Source organism: Homo sapiens, chromosome 2 (assembly GCF_000001405.40).
Source record: "Homo sapiens chromosome 2, GRCh38.p14 Primary Assembly".
Lineage (NCBI taxonomy): Eukaryota > Metazoa > Chordata > Mammalia > Primates > Hominidae > Homo > Homo sapiens.
This window is the reverse complement of record NC_000002.12, coordinates 127,727,929-127,748,309: the sequence shown is the minus strand read 5'-3', so window position 1 is coordinate 127,748,309 and position 20,381 is coordinate 127,727,929. Positions and strand designations below refer to the sequence as shown.

The following is a 20,381-nucleotide window of genomic DNA, read 5'->3' as shown; positions in this document are numbered from 1 at the left end:
TTGGATTTATTGCTCATTGCAGCAAAGAACACAGACCGCAGGGAACCATGGGGTGTCCTAGTAACAGGGTGTTATAATGTATTATAGGATTTGGGCTTTGGATAATTTTGGGGGGAAGGTCTAAGGACATGAGGGCTTGCTCTAGATAGGGTGCTGTCGGAAAACAGAGGCAATTCTATGATTGGGTATCAACAGATCTTATAGAGGGGGTCAAGTAGATTGAGGTTAAAGCTGTAATTGGTGAAGAAATAGCTGTCACTCATTCAGCAAGAAAGAGAATTTTGTATTTTGTGGGTTGTACAGTGACCTAGTTTTTTCTCACTTTGCCATGGTCTTGGAGTGACTACTTTTGATATTGACGTTCAGTGAGATTGTCCAACAGGAGCGTGGAATGTTTAAGCTGTACATGTCAGAACAGTTTGTAGTAACACCAAGGCTTAGCTTGAACATCAGATTAGTTCTCAGAGGTCAGGGGCTGCTGCTTTTTACTTTCTTGAACATATTGAAATCCAGACAGACTTGAGGTCAGGATTTAGTAGCAGCGACATGCTCGGCAGGCACAGGTTGGAACCAGCTGAAATGATGCCAGCAGTATGTTTTTACAAAACGGAGCAATTGGGGAGAATTTGGTGGCATGTTAACCAGCATTAGACAAGCAGGATACATTATAGGCAAAAGCAGCCTCTTCAGATAGTACCACTAGTTTTGCCACTGGCGTATAGAATTTTCCCATAGAAATAGAGAATGTCATCATGTATCATCATTGAAATCTTCATAGTTGCTTTTATGCTAACGTTGAGTGCTCATGGGAACCTCAAAATCTTTAAATAAAGGTTTTAGATTGTAAAAGTTTTTACTTTTTTTTTTTTTTCGGTAGAGCAGCGGTAGCCCTAAAATATTGTTGATTTGGACCAAACTGAGGATAAAATGTTTTCAGAATAAGATTTTTCTCCTAAAGACTATTTCACACAGAAATATTTGTTCATTTTAGGTTTTAAACACTGTATGTTAAACTGTTGTTTGTATTTTATTTATTAGGTACAGTACATAATTTCGTATGGAAAAAACAGCATATTCCAGAGTTACCACAGATTTCAGGATTGGTAGATAAATACCATTTGTGCCTGTGTCTAAATTGTGTAGATGCCAGAATTAATTTTCATATAATTTAGACACATAGATTTGTGGTGTATTCTCTTGGTTAAAGTGCCTTGAAAATAAGGCTTTGTATTTTGAAACTAAATCTGTTTGGGCGAAACTCACTTTGGTGATCTCCACAAAATTCACTGGTTTTGATCATCTTCTATAATCGTATATTTACATTTTTTTAAATAACATCCATTTACCAGAATTGATGCTGAATAGTACCAGTTTACTGTGTCTTTTCATAGGCAATGATGAGTGCAAGTCTATTTGTAATAAGTATTTTTTCTATAAAAAGAAGGGTAACTATTGTGTATTGTTAACTTTAAAATGTAATGATAGAAGAATATAGTGTAATTACTGTTTACAGTGGTTAAGTGACAAAGAAGAAATTATTAATGTTGTTAAACCTCCTCTTTAGCTGCTCCAAAATTCTAGTTACAGTGGTAGTTTCTGCTTGGCACAATCTCCGTATTTCCTCTGGGGAACTTTAAACATCACTCAGCTGAGAGTCAGCAAGTTTGGCTTTGAATCCCCGCTTTGCCACTGGGCAAGTCAAGTCTTTCTCAGCTTGCCTCTCCTCGTCTGTAAAGGAGAGCTAATGATACCTACCTCACAGGGCTGTTGTGAGGACCACAGACATACTCTGCACAGTGCAGGATGAAGCAAATGTTTGTTGCTAAAGTCATAAATATCAAGGAAAGATGCTAAAAGACAAGATAGGAGTAAAGAAAATAACATATTTTACTTAATTTGATTTAAGAGGAGATTGGAATTGAGTAGGAAAGGTATTAAAAGAGAGGTATTAAAGGTATTAAGGAAAGGTATTTATGGGAGGAGATTATTGGATCAAAAATTAGTATTGGAATATGATTATCTTTTCAGTAGTGATTTTTAGGTTTAGAAGTGTGATTGATAAAGTTGTAAGCCACATTTAAATAGATAACATTATATTGAAATAGAACTATGACTTCTTTTTAAAGCTTTATTTATGTAAGTCCTCATATTTTATTTCCACTATCATCTCAGAACCACAGGAGTGCCAGAAGGCAATCCTTCACACCCTGCATTAGAGTTGTTCTCTTCATTGCCTTTGCTTGCTTACCTTTTTTTTTTTTTTTTTTTAATTATTTTATGTTTTAGAGACAGAGTCTCGCTCTGTCTCCCAGGCTGGCATGCAATGGTATGATCATAGTTCACTGCAACCTTGAACTCCAGGGCTCAAGTAATTCTCCTGCCTCAGCCTCCTGAGTAGCTGGGACTACAGGAGCTTGCCACCATGCCCAGCCACAGATTGTTTTTTGAATAGATAATATATTTGAATCTTTCTGGAGAACGACGTGCTGTTTTTTGAGTTCTAGTTAGGTAAATTCATGTTGGATGAGTGTAAGACATACCGAGTTACTCTACAGACTTGGAGCATTCTTTCCACTTGTACTTTTTGGTAGGTTTACAATATCTTGAAAAAATATGAAGCCCATAAAGTGGTATGTCTGTGGTATGAGCTGTTTATTTGGACATTTTTAATAGTCATTTTAAGTTGGATCAAAATCAGATACTTCATTGTTAGAAATATTTATATAACCAGCACTTTGGTTGCTTCACAAGTCCTCATTTAATCTGTTTTTCTTCAGTCTTTGATTTTCTTTGTTGCTGTTTCTGTAAAGGAATCATGAAAGAAAAACCATTGTTTAAATACAGTTAAGGGTGAGAAACCTTCACTCCGCCATATTTCTTTGATTTTGTGTTCAGTATGTTGGTTGAAGATGAGAAGTACAGACCAGACACTGGGAACTTCGTGGTCCCATGTATTCCAACATCACACTGGTCCCAAAGAGCACAGAGGCAGTAATGCTGCTGCAGATATCTGATTAACCAGAATTCTCTCTGGGAAGGATCGATAGCACAGTTATGTGATTTTTATATGCTTGACTGGGTTGAACAAATAAACTCTGGGTCGTACATTTACACAAATGTGTTCTTCAGAATACAACAACTATGCCACTGAAGGCCGCTCTCAGTATGCGTTTTAAAGAAGTGTTTCCACTAGTTAAAATGGATTTACATTGATCCTTCTATATCTGGTCCTGTGATCAGGAAGATGATAAGTACAAAGGCAAGCTGACTGCATAACAATAACTGATGTATATGGGGATCTCGCAACCTGGCTTCGTTAGCAGTGCCATTCTCTAACCAATCAAGCCGAAGACCAAATGCAACACTGAGATGCATTTTTTTCATCAGTCATGCATGGTGAAAGGTATATTCTATGAATTGCATGGAAGTAAGAATTGGAGACAGTACTTTTTGGTAGGTTTACAATATCTTGAAAAAATATGAAGTGCAGGATGAAGGTGTATTCACACCTACACAATATGCCATATGGAAGCCTGAGATCTGTGGTGGAAGAGTACTGGGGAATGTAAGGGTGGAAAGGTAAGGAAAGAATTGGGTGGGATTAAGAGTTGTTTTTCTTGAGAACTTCTGCCTTTTACAAAGGTAATAAACATTCATAAAAGGTTCACTTAGAAGTAAAAAGTCAACGTCTTTCCCCTCTTATTTCCCAATTTCACATCCAGAGGTAAGCACTGTTCTGTTGAAGCTTGGTGTATATCTTTTTAGAATTCCTATACATATACAAAAAGATGCTTTTAAAAATCACTACATGAAAGGAGATTATACTACGTATATTCTTTTGCTATTTGCTTTTCTCACTATACTGTATATTAAGGTCATTTTTCTGCATCATTACTACCCCAGTCTTTTTGACTGCATGTATCTACTGTAATTTATTTAACTATTCCTCACTGATAGGCCTTTGGGATTTGCAAGAAGTTTTTGCCAAGACACAGTTGTGCACTAAGCTTCCTAATACCTTTATATTTGTGTTACTTACGTAAATTTTCCATTAGGTTAGACTCCTAAGAATAAACTCAATGGAGCAAAGGGTATGAACATTTAAACTTTTGGAAGATGAGTTGTCTTCACTGTCCAGGAAGTCATCAACGATGAAGTTTAAGAAAGTTCTTGTCATCTAGCCAAACTGAAAATAACACAGGATTAACATTTTAGGAAATTGTCACCACCTAAATATTTAACCTTATTTTTAAAAATCACTAATAATAAGCACACATGGTAAAAAGTCTTTCCTCCAGCCCCATAGAGGGATGGAATATGAAATTTAAAAATCTGCCAATCCTTTACCTCTCCCCAGAGGTAGTTTCTTAAAACTAATTGTTTCTATTCTTGTGGTCATCAGAATTTCACATAATATGTATTTTGGTATATCTGTCTGACGTAGTGCCTCTTTCTGTCATCAAAGGTGAGGAATTGAGTGTTATTCACACCACCAACCATGCCTCCTACCTCCTCGTTTTTGTCATAATGAATTGTAGTTTCAGTGGTTTTCTTTATAGCTTTAAATGTTCTTAAACCTTTATTTTTAAGGGGACTGCCAACTTTAGCCAATATTCCTTGGCTCACCACTAGGTTACAGAAGGAAATCTGTGCCTCTCAATGTGTTTCCACTTCTGCCGTTTGTCTTCCTTTACTTCTGAATTGTCAAGGATTTTAAGCCAATTTTATTCTGTTCTTGAATTATGGCTACTTTTGTTTTCTTCATATTTTAAAATTCTAAACAATGAGAACAAAAAAGATAGCATTTCTGCTATGAATGATACTATTGATAACAGAACCAAGCAGTATAATGGGGCCTTGCAGAAAGAGTGATAATCTTGTGGTAGTTAATGAAAAGTTGTTCTGCTTGGACAGTGTCAAGATCAAGTATGCTGCTTTTGTATTAAGTCTGTCATGCTGTCAACTGTTGAAAATAATGCCATAGTTTAATTCACTTTTGTCTTGCAATTTATTATTACCTTTCCTGTTTTTAAAAATCAATGTCACTAAAACCTTTATCATAGCAAATTTTTAGGTTTTTAATTTTTCAATTTGAGTAAATGGTTTTTGTTTTTGAAGGCATTCTTTTAAGTCCACTCTTTTTTTATTTTTTCCCAGTTCAGTTGAAAATCCTCAAACATTTTTCTCAGAAATAGCGCTTAGGAGGTAAATCAAAATTATTGAGTCTGGAAAGGTATTTAATTACCATCATACTTGACTCATAGTTTGGGGTTTGAAATCCTTTGCCTTCTGAATTTTTACGTCCTTCATTATCTTCCATCAGTTTTACTGATAACTCAAATATAATCCTGAGTCTCATTATTTTATATATATCTTGACTTTCCTCTCTGAATGTTTTCTGAATGATCTCTTTTCTCTGAGGGGTGTTTTTTTTTGTTTTTTTTTTTTTAACTGTGAGTATAGGTATACATATTTTAAACTTCATCTTTCTTGGCATACTGTCATCTGCAGTCTTATCTTTTTTCCATTTAAAGGATTTTTCTTTCTTTGATGATTGTTTCCATTGTCTTTGCTTGTCTTACGGAATTCTTAGGAGATGACTGTTGGGCTGTTTGGAGCTGTCTATCTAGTATTATTTTTTCTTACATGTTTTGTGTTCCTGCCCTTTCTCTAAGTATTGGGAGATTTCTGTTTGTCTCCTGGAATACTGATTTACTTTTCAATCATGCCCAGTCTGGTTTTCAGCCCTTCTGGTGATTTTTTCTTCCCTTTTTTTTTTTTTTTTTTGAGACAGGGTCTCTGTCTCCTGGGCTGGAGTGCAGCGGTGCAATCATGGCTCACTGTAGGCATGACCTCCTGGGCTGAAGCGATCCTCCCACCTCTGTTTCCTTGGTAGCTGGAACTACAGGTGTGAGCCACCATGCATAGCTAATTTTATTTTTATTTTTATTTAGTTTTAATTTTTTGTTGCCTAGTCTGTTCTCAAACTCCTGAGCTCAAGCAATCCACATACCTTGGCCTCCCAAGGTCCTGGGATTACAGACTTGAGCCACTGTGCCCAGCCGAAATTTTTATTTTTATTTATTTTTATTTTTTGAGATGGAGTTTCGCTCTTGTTGCCCAGGCTGGAGTGCAATGGCACGATCTCAGCTCACTGCAACCTCTGCCTCCCAAGTTCATCCTGGGTTCAAGTGTTTCTCCTGCCTCAGCCTCTGGAGTGGCTGGGATTACAGACACCCACCACCACACCTGGCTAATTTTTTGTATTTTTAGTAGAGACAGAGTTTCATTATGTTGGCCAGGCTGATCTTGAACTCCTGACTTCAGGTGATCCACCCGCCTCGGCCTCCCAAAGTGCTGGGATTACAGGTGTGAGCCACCGTGCCCAGCCGGAAAGTGTTATTTTTATCAACTGCATGTTTACTTTTCAAGAATTTCTAGTGGTTCTCTAATCTTTTCATTTTTCAAGGAAGCCTGTTTTGTAGTTGGTTTGTTTTTAAGGAATATACCCCTTAAAACCTTTAACATAGTAATTGGGGTGTTTGTGTGGATGTCTGGTTTGATCTGTTGTTCCTGTTTGTTTTCCCTAAAGTCATATAATCTGTATTTTTCTCTTTCCTGGTACTTGCTTTTTCTCAAATAACGCAGTGACCCTTGGTTGTCCAGAGATTTGAATGGTGGTTTGTATTGGTTAGTATAAGTAGCTATCTTGCATTTTTTTGCAGTTAAGTTCGCTTACCTACAAGGGTCCTCTCCTGGATGGAAGATCTCACTGTGGATTCGTGTGTCTGTGTGTGTGCTTGTACATGTGTACACACGTGCATGTTTGTGTGTGTTTAATGAAGTGAGTGGAGAAGCACAGGCCACTGCCACATTTATCAAGTAAGTGGGTTGTGGTTTGTACTCTGAGGTGGAGTGCTTAAGTTTATTCCACTCTTAAGTGGAACTGCCATCTTTCTCTCCTCCCTCCCTTCTCTTTTCTCTTTTTCTCCTCCTCTCCCATTCTCTCTTTGCCCTCCACTTCTTTCCATTTTCAGTGTCATCCGTGGCATTTCTGCAGACTTTGTGCTGCTTTACTCTTCAGCCTCAAATCCTGCTCTAGGGTTTCTTCCCAGACTGAAATGTGCTTTTTGTAACAAATGTGCTTTGTATAATTTGCTTTGTCTGACTGAGAGCATCTGTTCTACAGAAACAGGAAGTCAGGAGGGACAACCTGGACAAGTCTCCCTATAATTACCCTCATTACTTCATCACAGCCTTTGTCACTGAGCCTTTGCCACAACCTTTGTCACTGACAACTACAGTCTATGTATTTTGGGTTTCATTTTTCTCTACTCTGGTTTATTCATAGGTAGGGTCCATCTGTTTTTAGAGAATGGCCACTTTTTGGTTGAAGTTTTTTCAAAATTTCCTAAAATTTGTAGCCAACATATGTCAGTCTTGCGAAATAAGTTCATCCTCTGCAAACCTTTGAAAGTAATTTAGGAAGAGGCTTGCATATTTGTTTTTACTTAGTATTAAATCATGATTTTATTCCAAAGCACAATTCCCTTTTCACATTAGTGGCGTTGAAATAATCTTCCTTACCTCTTTCCTGATATTCTCCCAAGTTCCATCATTTTTCCATTTCTTAAGACATCTTTCATAGTTAAATTTTAATCGTATACTTGAAGCTTAAGGTAATCCATGGCATTGGGGGATTTAGAGATGAGTAATCAATTAAAATAATTGAAAGATTGTGTTGAACCCAGCTCTTTTCTTTTTTAGAGACAGGATCTCACTCTCACCCAGGCTGGAAGTGTGGTGGTGTGATCTCAGCTCACTGCATCCTTGACCTCCCGGGCTCAAGCCCACCTCAGCCACTGCCCATGTCCCCCTGGGCACCATGACACCCAGCGTGTGTGTATGTGTGCGTGTGTGTAGAGAAATACAAATCCGTGTGTGTGTGTGTGTGTGTGTGTGTAGAGAAATACAAATCCCTCCCAAAGTGCTGGGATTATAGGCGTGTGCCAACGCTGGTGGCCCAGCATTTTTCCTGTAGATTTTTTGTCCCCCTAGAAATGAGTTAACATTCTTTAACAGTAGAGAAAATGTAGACGGAACCATCAGACATTCACACCACAAGTAAAAAGGAAGTGATTGGTATCATCTTCTCAGTGTTGGAGGTGGCATTGTAGTCTAGTGGAATCAGTACTTACATTAAAAGTATTACCTTAAGTACTCAGGACTTAAATGCTGTTTTTCTTAGTAGTATCTGTCTTTCTTAAAAAAAAACATAATCAACATAGTGAATGTAATGGTGGTCTCTCATTTTGTGTTTTCTAGTTCTGAGAGGTAAATGGCATTACATCAAGTGTATTACTTGGGGTGAATGTTCATAATCAGAATTCAGTGTTATTTTTTCTGGAGTCATTTGAAAACTGAAATTTAGCAGTCTTACAAAAGTTGCACTTTGGGAACATGCTCTCACATCGAGCCATTTTCTGCTTTCCCATACTCTGTTCATAGTAGTAACAGCTCTTGCTGGATAACTAAGTCTATATGGAAATAGCTGTCCCCATGGTGAACTTTTTCAGGGCAGAGATTGGATCACAATGAAAGCTTTTATTCATTGAATGTTCAAAATATATGCTAGGCATGATGCTAAGTGCTTCATGTATTTAATTCCTGAAACAAGCCAATAATTGGGTAATAATCTCCATTTTGTACATGTAAATATTAAGGCTAGGCAAGGGTTAAGTAGATTACTTAAGGACGTAACTAGTAAGTGACATCTGAGATTTAAACACAACCAGTTTACTGGAAATTTTTTACTATTAGCCATTATGTAGCATATGAGCACTGAACCTATTTGAATTACATGTAACATACCCTTTTCTTGATTCCAAATGTAACTGATTTGACACTGCTGCTTTTATTGGACAAAGCTACTTTCATCACTTGGTTATTCTCTTCTTACGGGGGGGAAATCATAGTCGACTGTAAGTGGAAATGAGAATTTTCATGATTTACTCTTGGTCCTGGCTCAGAGATGAAAGTGGAATAAACCCTTAATCTATTTTCCTGAAGAACTTATTTTTGGATTTTAAACAATGTGTATATAGGTCTATTTTTTGCTCTCTCATCATTTCCTCATTCATTCAATAAAGAAAAAGAACATGGCAGATTTTAAACACCTTCACGAGTAGATACTGGTATTGTTTATAATATGTTTAATTTAATTTGAACTGGTTTGGATTTTCCTACTAAGTATTCCTTGGTTTTCACATCTCTGGAATGGTAAGATCTTTTTTCTGAGGTCTGTGGGCAAAAATTTTTAAGGTTCTTGTGTGTCTTTTATTTCATGTTTACATTTATAACGGGACTGGTTGGATATTGAATGCTAGATTCAAAACTTTTCCCCCTATTTCAGCACTTTCAAGATTTTGTTCCATTCTCCTCCTCCTCTTCATTTTAATCAAGAAAATTATTTACAGAGTGACTGCTTGCGGGGCAGGACTAACCCATAGGCAGTGTGCCCTGAGTAGCCCCACTCTCTTCTTGCAGCTAGTGTGTTGATGAGAAGTTGTATAGTATATTGCAGAATGTCCCTCAGTTGTGATTTATCTACTATTTCTCTCATGATTAGACAGGGAATTGTCGGTTTTTGAGAGGAAGATCACACAGGTAAAGTGCCATTTTCATCATACCATGTCATGGATGTATACTATCAGTATGACTTGATGTTGATCTTGATCATCTGCTTGAGGTAGAGTTTGTCAAGTTTCTTCAACAACAGCTACTCTTATTTCCCACTTTTCATACTGTACTCTTTGGAATGAAGTCATAATATTAATATATAGCCCACACTTAAGGAGTGGAGCATTACACCTCACCTCTTTTCAGGTGGAGTAACTGTGTAAATTATGTGGAATTCTTAGGCATGGGAGACTTCACTCTTCTCCACTTATTTATTCAGTTATTTGCTTATATCAGTATGGACTAAATGGATATTTTATGGGAATATGTTTTTAATATGGTGGAAATTAATAATATAACCAGCTCCCAGTTGAAGTTTTCTCAGATTACATTTTTCTTTGAAACAGAAATGGAGATGTTTGTTAAGATCCAGTTGGAGCATATGTTATCTCAGATTACTCATTAATAGAAAAAAATCTCAGTCATATCTGGAAATTACACAATCTGCCAGGGCTCATGTGATAGATACCTGCCTGCACAGTATTTAAGAGTTCATGCACCCTTCTTGTTTTGATAGATACATGTTTTCATCACTGCCGTTGTTACTTCCTTTCTGTCAAGAGGTGAATAACAGTAGGTGGACAAAGTTTAGGGAGCCACATTTACCAACTTCTGTGAATATACCCAAGAAGATTCTGGCAAAACATAGATTCAAATTACAGTTGATGCTGTGGATGGCTATGGGTTAACTACTCTTCTACTTTGACACGGATTATTTGTTGCTTTTATGTTTCTAAATTCTCAATTAAAAAGAAGTGTATCCTTAATCTGGCCAACTGAAAGTGAACTTGTTCATTCACCTCTACCTTGCTTTCAAAAGGACTGCTTACCATGGAAGTGCTCCAGAAGAATCATTTGAAACATCTTTTGTTTTCCTTCTTGGTTCTGCGTTTTCTTCCTTACCAGGGGCTTCAGTCATGGCTTCTCTTTATTCTTGGCCTGGGTTGTCTGCTGGCACTAATACATCTATTATTAACGTAGTGTAGGTACTGGCCTTTCTAATAGTCTTGGTATTTAGTGCCAGACTCCCATCAATCTTTTGAATGTCTTTTCTTTTTCTTTTTGCACTTTTCTAGCTTTTCAAGTGATGACTATATACTGCTTTTCTTGACTGTATATATTGTTACTGAATTGTGAATATCTGCAGAAATGTTTACTAGAGAACCTGTGACTGTTGAATAACATGTGCCCGAACATACACACACACATATGTACACACACACCTCAGAGTACTCTTTCTTACAGCGGACTTTGCTGCTGCTTTCTGCATGTGTGGGACACTGGTATCTCCCGTCTCAGACAAATGGCTGATGTTCTCTATGATATTGGTGTTAATATCAAAGAATTGAATGAATACAACAGAATTGAGGTTGAAAAATATTTGATTGCCACATTCCTTTAAGCATCTTTGATGAATACTCTGCAAAGTAGCCTTTAAAAAAATGTAAATTTTTTAAAAAGTCCACAGAGGAGAATTTGCTGGTTAGCACAAAACATACTGCAAAATTGCTTCTTTCTGGTTATTATAACTGAAGAATATAGAAGATTGACACACATTTTATACACCCTCAGGCAGTGTTTTGGAATAATATTGTACCTTTTCAAATTGTTATCAATTAACTGTTTTTCTCCATTTCATAATTCTCAAGATTTTTCTAAATACAGCCTTTAAATTTGACTCAAATGGAAATTGTGCACTTTCCTGTTTATACCCTTCCCCACGTTATTGTAAAAGAGTTTAACAGCAGCCTGATATGTAAGTTTCAGCAAAACTTATACCTGTATATGTTTTTATTTGACTCAAAAATTAGATATTTTACCATATAGTCATAAGAATTTGCTCACTTTGATGCCAGAAGTACTTAAGAAGTTACACGGCACTAATTTTATGAGTTGTATGCCTAATTTCAATTTCTAACCTATTTGACAGTTTCTTTTAGGTCAGCCTTTGTTGGTCTTCCATGTAAATACAAGTTGGTACAAATCAATAGAAACCATTTTACCTACATAGGCAAAGTAAATGTGTGACTTAGAGACTGCCAGATTTATGGTGCATCTACCTTTTTATCCATTTGAGCTTGCTTTTTTATGTTTGTGTATTGGTTGCTCCTGACACTATACATTTCAAAATTTTTTATAACTTGAAAAACACTTCTGTGCTACCACTCAGTTCTGATCAAATCCTTACATTTTGCAACACTCATTTCTGAATTTTCAGTAAAGAAATACACATTACAAATTAAAGGTTAAAGGCCCCTTTACATGCCCTTCCCCAGTCTCCTCTTCCTCCCCCGGAAGTGTCCATTCTGCTGAATTCAGGTTCATCATTGCCAGACAAATGTAGTAAGCTAGTGTTTCACATTTCCAAAATCAGCCTTCTGGCAGACTTGGAAGTACTCTTGAGAAAAGAAGACTCGTGACCAAATTCTCCCACAGATTTGTAATAATGTACATATTGAAAGGACTGAAGGCTCTCAGACTGGGAAAGAAACTTACCCATTTTAAAATTCAGCATTGCTCAACTTACCTGACTGCCGGACCCCTTCACCCATGATTCTATGCACTGTATTGTTGGAACATACATTGTGAAAACACTGCCCTGCCTAGGCATACCCCCTTTCCAGAATTAACTTTCCATTTAATTCTATAGTTTTTCACTGATGTAACTTTCTAGACTGGACAACAAAGATGACTAATAGTAATCACTCCAAGTTGATGTTGACTGTTGGGTTGTGGTGAAATCATTTTGCATTAAAGGAAGGTAAAATACTAATAAATTGCATATTCCTTGACCAGAGCACAGATTACTTATGCTTCTTAATTTTTTAAAATCTTAAATCCTCTGTCCAACTGGAGTATCTGGCTATGGGCCATGGGTACTCATATACCCTTTGTCTTAAACTGATCTGTTACATTTTATGTTCTTGTGGCTAGAAGTAGCCTGAGTTTGCTGTTAATGTTTAACACATTTTCTTGAGTAACAGTTCTGTTAATATTGTACAAGATGGTACTTGAATTCTTTGTTTGCCTTTTTTCTTCCTGTATTAGAAAATCTTGGTGCTTTTTATAAGTTTTGTATAAAAGAATTTTTTTTAAGATTTGTTCATAAAATGGTCTGATCCAGGAAAAATAAAATGGGAACATGGACACCATTTCTGACCTTCAAATAAAACTTATTATGTATTGGTTTTCAGACTGTTCACCGAGCTTTGGGATCCTATGGACTGTCTCAAGACAGGTTATTTAGGGGCTTGGGGTAACAGGTTCCTTAGGATCTGATGAGGTGGAGGAGGGGTGATCAGGTGGAGGAGGGGTGAGGGCCTGAGAAAAATGCACAGGGCACAAAGTTTACATCCAGTTTCACAGAAGCCAGGGAACCTCCTCCTTTAAGGGAATAGTCAAAAAGCAGACCTTCTGCCCTTACTGGTTCTAGCCTTCACTGCACTACACTTTACGGTTCTGGGACAGGGAATAATGAACAAGAAGTCTTCACTATCTACAAAGCAAGTCTAGAATGTCTGTTCACCAAATATCTAATACCTAATCCATTTATCATGTTATTCTTAGAATTTTAAGGTTTATTAAGGAGTCTGCATTTTATTTCTAGAATCTCCTTTTTAACACATTAGGCATTTTTTTCATTAGGAAAATTATCTTGTTTGCATTCTGCACTTTGCTATTTCAAGTGTGGTTACATAGCATATTTTAAAAGGGGGAGAGAGTTTTCTGTTTTTATTTTGTGGAGAAAGGTCTTTAAAAGTGCATTCATGTTTTTTTAAAGCTTAATTTCAATCTTGATCCAGAAGACTTTTATTCTAAGTATTAACTTTCTTAAAAAGCTGTTGTTCTAGCACTATGTAACCCTACAAATACTCCCCAGTATTCAGGTCTTGTTTTGTTTGGTGACCACATATTTGAGAGGTTGAGCACCAATAACAGGAGCTCAATAAACGTTGGCATCATGCACATTTATTTTGAATTAATGAGTGGAAGTGGAAGAGTACATAAATGAATATGTGAAAGAACGAGTAGAATAAGTGAAATCGTTTACTTCCTGTTTGCTGTACATTTTAATGCTATTAATGGTCACTTTCTGCAAATAATTATTACAAAGTAGTAAGTCAAACATTTCTGGCATATTAGACACAGGTTAATCTACAAAGCAGCATCACCTGTCTCCAGGAGATGCTAATTCTGTCACTGGTCATTTAGCTAGGACTCTGAAGGAACGTTTAGCTGGATAGCTAGCTAAGGAATGATGCAAACTCACTGTTCTCAATGCTTAATATCTAAAAATAACTCAGTGTGATTAATTTGGAATTTCTTTTGGTGGAGTTAGTTTATGGTTGTCACATTCCTTCATTCCGAACAAGACTCTGGTCTTCAGAATCAATATGTTTACTTATTAAATAGTCAAAAGAATTATGTATTTATCCCTAAATTATTTTCTTATATAGTTCTGAGAGGTGGAAAGGAGTATAGAAGTTGTCATATACAAGCTCTTCAGTTACAGTTGAGAAAGTGAAAGTTGATTTGTAATTGGAACAGAAGGGACTATCCACTTCATCTGGATGTTATATTTAGTGAGATGAAGACAGGATTGGATGAGGAGGAAGAAAATCCGGGCCCCCTCCCACCACTGCCCTAACCCTTTCAGGCTTCCGTGTTCTCATCTGCAGAGTTAGAGGGCTGGATAGTTCTGCAGGTCTTCTCAAGCTCTGGTATCATTGAAAGATAATTTTTTGTTGTTGCTGTTCATTGTACAACTGAGATAAATAAAAATAAGATTGTGGAAATTTAAAGGGACACTTTCTTTAGGGCCAGTTATTGTCCAATAGGGTTTTTTTGTTTTTTGTTTTTTGTTTTGTGACGACGGAAGTATTCTATATCTCTCCTGTCTGATATTCTTAGCCACTAGTCACGTGTGACTATTAAGCCCTTGAAATGTCACTGATATGACTGAGAAACTAAAATTTTAACCCTAAAACAAATTTAAACAGCCGTATATGGCTAATAGGTGCCATATGGGACAGTGCAGGTTAAATTCTTAAGTATTTGTGTTCAGAGGGAATTCCACACAGATTTATAATGGTCTTTTTCTTTATATAGTGATCTACAACTGGAATGTCTTAATTTTAGAATTTTGCAATTGTACCTCCAAGTCCAAGTCGTACTGCTGAATCTTTCATGTGCCCATATCACTGGCTTCTTTAAGCTCTGCCATCCTACTGAGGATTCTGCATGTCCACCACAGTCTACCTATAGACTCCTGTCAGTCCCCTGCAGGGCCACACTTTGTGCCTGTAGTGGACTTTGTAGTGTCTGGAGCAGATTTGGTGCTGTTCGGAATTTTATCTTCCTTTTTTTTGTTGTCAGGGGCTTGATTCTGAGAAGTTTAATTACTTGAAAAACTGCCTGGTCTTTCATCAGCAAGAAATTTTCAGTACTAAAATCTTTAGCCTTTAGGGAGATGTTTTTAGTACTATAACGTCTAGTCACCAGGCTACAAAAACTCTCGTTACCTGGGTGAATTTTCCATTAAGTCTGTATTCTTGCAGTATTACAAACACTACATTCTTGGAATTTTCACATTTGGGGAATCACAAAGAGCCTGGAATGATTGTATCATGAAATTCTGTACCTCAGAAATGAAATGATCAAATTTAGTATAGAGGCATTCTTTAGGCTTAATGTTTGAAATTAATAAACCATGTGTTTGGTACTTAATCATTTTTTTCTATGAAATAATAATTTAGATAAGATTAAGTTTCTATGTACGGTTTGCCTCTTCACAAAACCCACAGTATCTTGAAACTTAATGCACCCCTACCACGTCTGAGAGCTGTCAGTGAAAAGCTGCATCCCTGCTGAGTATCTGAGGCACATCTTCCTGGGACCACAGGCACTGGTTTCTTCTGTTGGCAAATGAAAGCATTAATTGATATCAGCCATTCACTTGAGTTTTGAATAGAGGGACACCAAAAGTAGTTGCCATTAAACAAAGTAATAAAATCACATGTTAAGAAGTGTTTGACCAGCCTGTCCAACATAGGGAGACTCCATCTCTACAAAAAATTAAAAAATTACCTGGACGTGATAGTGCATGCCTGTAGTCCCAGCTACCGGGGAGGCTGAGGTAGGAGGATTATTTGAGCCCAGGAGTCAGAGGCTGCAATCAGTTCACTGCAGCCTCCGCCTCCTGTGCTCAACTTCCCACTCCACTCTAGCCTGGGCGATAGAGTGCAACCCTGTCTCAAAAAAAAAAGAAAAAAGTTCAAGAGTATAGAAGAGTAAATGCCACTCTTATTCCCATACCATTTCATCTCCCTAAAAAACGGTTACTAGCTTAAGTATTATTTTATACAAATGGATGCTTTACTTATATTTTTAAAAAGGCTTATTGGGGTGTCCGTCTGTGTGTGTGTGTGTGTGTGTGTGTGTGTGTGTGTGTGTGTGTGTGTGTTGTATATGTTGTTTGTTTTATTTTTGAGACAAGCTCTCCATCACCCAGCCTGGAATGTAATGGCAAAATCACAACTCACTGCAGCCTTGACCTCCCAGGCTCAAGCAGTCCTCCCACATCAGCCTCCTGAGAAGCTGGGAGCATGGGTGTGCACCACCATATTTGGCTAATTTTTAAGTTTTTCTTCTAGAGACAGGGTCTCACTATGTTGCCCAGGCTGATCTCTACCTCCTGGACTCAAGGAATTCTTCGGCCTCAGCCTCCCAAAGTACTGGCATTACAGGTGTGAGCCACAGTGCCTGGCCCTGCAGTATAATTTAAATAAGGTAATATGTACCCTTTTTAGGTCTACAGTCCTATAAAATTTGACAAATAAATACATTCTAATCTAGATATAGAACATTTCCAAAACCCCCAAAAAGGTCCTTATTTCTGCCTCAGTTTTATGAGCTGGATTGTATTCAATTATATGTCTTTACCTTAATTTTCTTAAATAACCTCTCATTGATTCATGTTTAGGTTATTTCCAGTTTTGGCAATTCAAACAAGGTGCAGTAAATATCTTTGTACATAAATCTTGGTGTGCTTTTGCAGTCATAGGGTAAATTCCTAGTAGAGGATTGATAGAATCAATGGTTATATGCCTTTAAGATTGTGATAGATAATGGCCATATGGCCTTGCCCAAAAGTTGTCCTAATTTACTTCCCAACCAATTACAGATGAGAGTGCCTATTACTCTCTCTCTTATTAACACTGAGTGCCACCAAATTTAATTTTTGCTTTTCTGTGTTTTTTTTTTTTTTTTTTTTTTTTGAGGCAGGGTCTTGCTCTGTTGCCCAGGCTGGAGTGCAGTGGCGTGATCTTGGCTCACTGCAACCTCCGCCTCCCTGGGCTCAGGCGATCCTCCACCTCTGCCTCCTGAGCAACTGGGACTACAGGCATGCATCACCATGCCCAGCTAATTTTTGTATTTTTTGTAAAAATGGCATCTCACTATGTTTCCCAGGCTGGTCTCAAAACTTCTGGATTCAAGCAATCCACCCACCTTGGCCTCCCAAAGTGCTGGGATTACAGGCATGCGCCACCGTGCCTGATCAATTTTTGTTAATTTGATGGGAAAATACTACTTAGCAAAGTAACTTGCATTCAGTGGTGTTTTTTTTTTCCTTCATATTAAAAACATACCTAAACAAACAAACAAACAAAAAAAATCGAGAGTTCACACACACACAAAATATAATCCATGTTGTTTATTCTTAAAACCACAATATTATACTAGAGGAAATGTGGATAGAAGTTCATCTTTGTTTCCATTATTCTCAATGTGATTTTCATCTTCTGCCTATCCGTATCTGCATTTTGGTAACCATATCAAAATGTACAAGTATAAAATGTACAAAATGTACACACATATGTTAAGATGATTATAAAAATGTGTATGTATATGTATAGTTTGTGTGTTTTGCTTGCTTTTTAGTTCACATTATTTCATGAGCTTTTTTTGTTTCAAAAATCTTCATTTTAATGGTTTTTGGCTGTGGCAAAGTTTGTTTAATAATTCCACTTCTAAAATTTGTTTCCATTTTTTTGCTATTATTAATAAGACTTTAAGTGCCATCTTTTACATATCAAAGGTTTTTTTTTAATCCACTTAAATTATTAGGATGAATTTCTTCTGGTCTTATTCCTCTGGATCTAAATATATCAACATTGACATGTGAGGTCAGAATTTTATCATTTGAAAAATTTTTTTCACTTTACTGAAAATTCAGTCACTTCTTCCTGAAGAAGGAAGCAATTGCATATCAATTTTCTTCTATTCCAGCTTAATCTATTTATTTTTCTCTTTTACATTAAAACATTCTTTTAATGATATATGCTGCCTGTAAATATTTCCCACCCACTTTCCAGAGGTAATCCACTGTTATCAAGTAAGTTTAGTAAATTTTTTTTAATTGAATTTTCTCAATAGGTCATTAACGTGTTTCAAAGTTGAAAAATTACAAAACTATGTGTCGTGAAAAGTCTCCTTCTTTCCCTTGTGTCCCAAGCTACCTAGTTCTTGGAGCCAGTTGATGTTATCAGATTCTTTTGTATTCTTTCAGACACACATGGTATGCATTTTTGAGCAAAGGGGCGTGGGTGTGTGTCCCTCTGTTTTTAAGTTCTAAATGTTAGCATGCTACACATACTTTTTTCATATATTTTCTTAAGTAACTTTATTTCATTATTTGTATTCAGTTTTGTAAAATTAGATACTACATGCATGTGGTTCAAAAGTAAAATGATGTAAAGGCTAAAAAATGAATAGTTGGCCGGGTGCAGTGGCTCACGCCTGTAATCCCAACACTTTGGGAGGCCGAGGTGGGCGGATCACGAGGCCAGGAGATTGAGACCATCCTGGCTAACACAGTGAAACCATATCTCTACCAAAAATACAAACAATTAGCCGGGCGTGGTGGTGGGCGCCTGTAGTCCCAGCTACTTGGGAGGCTGAGGCAGGAGAATCGCTTGAACCCGGGAGGCGGAGGTTGGTTGCAGTGAGCCGAGATGGCGCCACTGCACTCCAGCCTGGGTGACAGAGAGAGACTCCATCTCAAAAAAAAAAAAAAGAATAGTCTCTCCCTGTTCCAATTCACTGTCTGCTAGGTACTATCCTTCACTGAGTCTTTATGTATAGAGAAGCAAATAGGAAGTGACACAGTTTTGTTTTTTCTGCTCTTGTAACTCTTAACTAACCTTTTCATATCTAAGAAAGCAGTATCACATAGTCCTTAAGAGGAGAGGCCCTGGGGCCAGCTCCCTGCATTCCAGATCTCTGCTCTGCCCCATATCATCAGTGTGGTCCCAAGCAAGTTCTTTAATCTGTCTGCGCTTTACAGTCTTCAGATGTAAAATGAGTCGCTACACATACTTCGCTTAGAATAACGCTATACATAAGTATTTGTGCTTGCTAGTATTCGTTTTATTAAGAACAGCGATGAATAAAATTACATCCAAGAATCAGGACCAATCAGTTTGATTTATATTTGAGATGTGTATGGATATGGGTAAATTCATGAGATTCCTCACTTGCTTGAATTTTACTTTAATAAATTTTAGAGAACATTAGAAAGCAAAGCAGCTGAAGTTTATTTTGTGGTTCCTTTTGGGTTCATAGTTTTTTTGTTTTTACGTATGCTTCTTTAAACATACCTTAAAACTAAACAGACATACGTTCTTTATGTAATAAACGTGTCCCAGAGAAGATGAGGGTAGATAGAGACGGCTGTTAAGAATATGAACTTTTCATATTGTACATTGTAATTTGAAACTGCTTTCTCAGGCATTTCTCATAATCCCAAATTTGATTGATTAATGCATACATAGCTATACATAATATTTATTTTTAGGTGACAATGGCCCATAGAGTTTTAAAATTCCCTACCTTTTCAGGGGCAAATAGTTAATTAAAATTTCTTAAGGCAAACAAGGGGCAAGGGGGACTGAAGTATTTTTATATTTCAATTATTCCATCTTCAGTTATTTTTCTTTTTAAAAGACAAAGCAACAGCAAAACCTCTCTTCCCCCTTCCCACCCAGTTACAAAATATGTTCATTGTAGAAAATATAAAAATATAGAATAAACATGGGGAGAGAGAATCAATACCACCTTCCAGCTTAATATTATTTCTGTTAACAATTCGGTGTCTAGACTTCTTGGCTTTTTTCTTTAATTTAGATAAGCTCACACAGTCACTCATGTTATTGACTGTTTGCCTTTTACAGTGATGGTATACACTGGTGTATTTTTTTAAAATAAATTATGAACATTTTAATCATGCCATTAAATCATCTATAGGGTCATTTATAATAGGTGCATCACATTCCTTTAAGTACATATGCCACACTGCAATTTATTTTGTAATATATTTGTGTTCTATTAAAAACAAATTGTGTCAGTAAATGTCCTTGCAGATAAATCCCTTTGCACATCCATTATTTCCTAATGATAAAATCTAAGACATGAGATTATTGGGTTGTAGGAGATGTACTTTCTCATACTTTTGATACATACAGCCAAACTGTTCTCCAGATTGTTGTCACCTCCCTACATGCTTGCCAGTACGGGGTATTGTGTTGGGATAAACCTATGTCCATTTGAGACCCAAATTGTCTCCCCTTATGAACGGGTACAAA

The 20,381-nt window shown here is 36.8% G+C and overlaps 1 protein-coding gene across 4 annotated transcripts in view; it reads left to right on the top strand.

The window, feature by feature from the left end:
• WDR33 (WD repeat domain 33) overlaps nt 1–20,381 on the top strand; it is a 110,145-nt gene that overhangs the window by 62,862 nt on the left and 26,902 nt on the right. Inside the window, exon 8 of one of the 4 annotated variants that reach the window (NM_001006623.4) lies at nt 10,256–12,890. The exons of the other annotated variants lie outside the window; for them this stretch is intronic. Coding sequence (NP_001006624.1) covers nt 10,256–10,305 — 50 coding nt within the window. The 3' untranslated portion in view covers nt 10,306–12,890. Of the gene's footprint in view, nt 1–10,255; nt 12,891–20,381 lie in introns of those variants that run through there. 4 annotated transcript variants of the gene reach the window in all.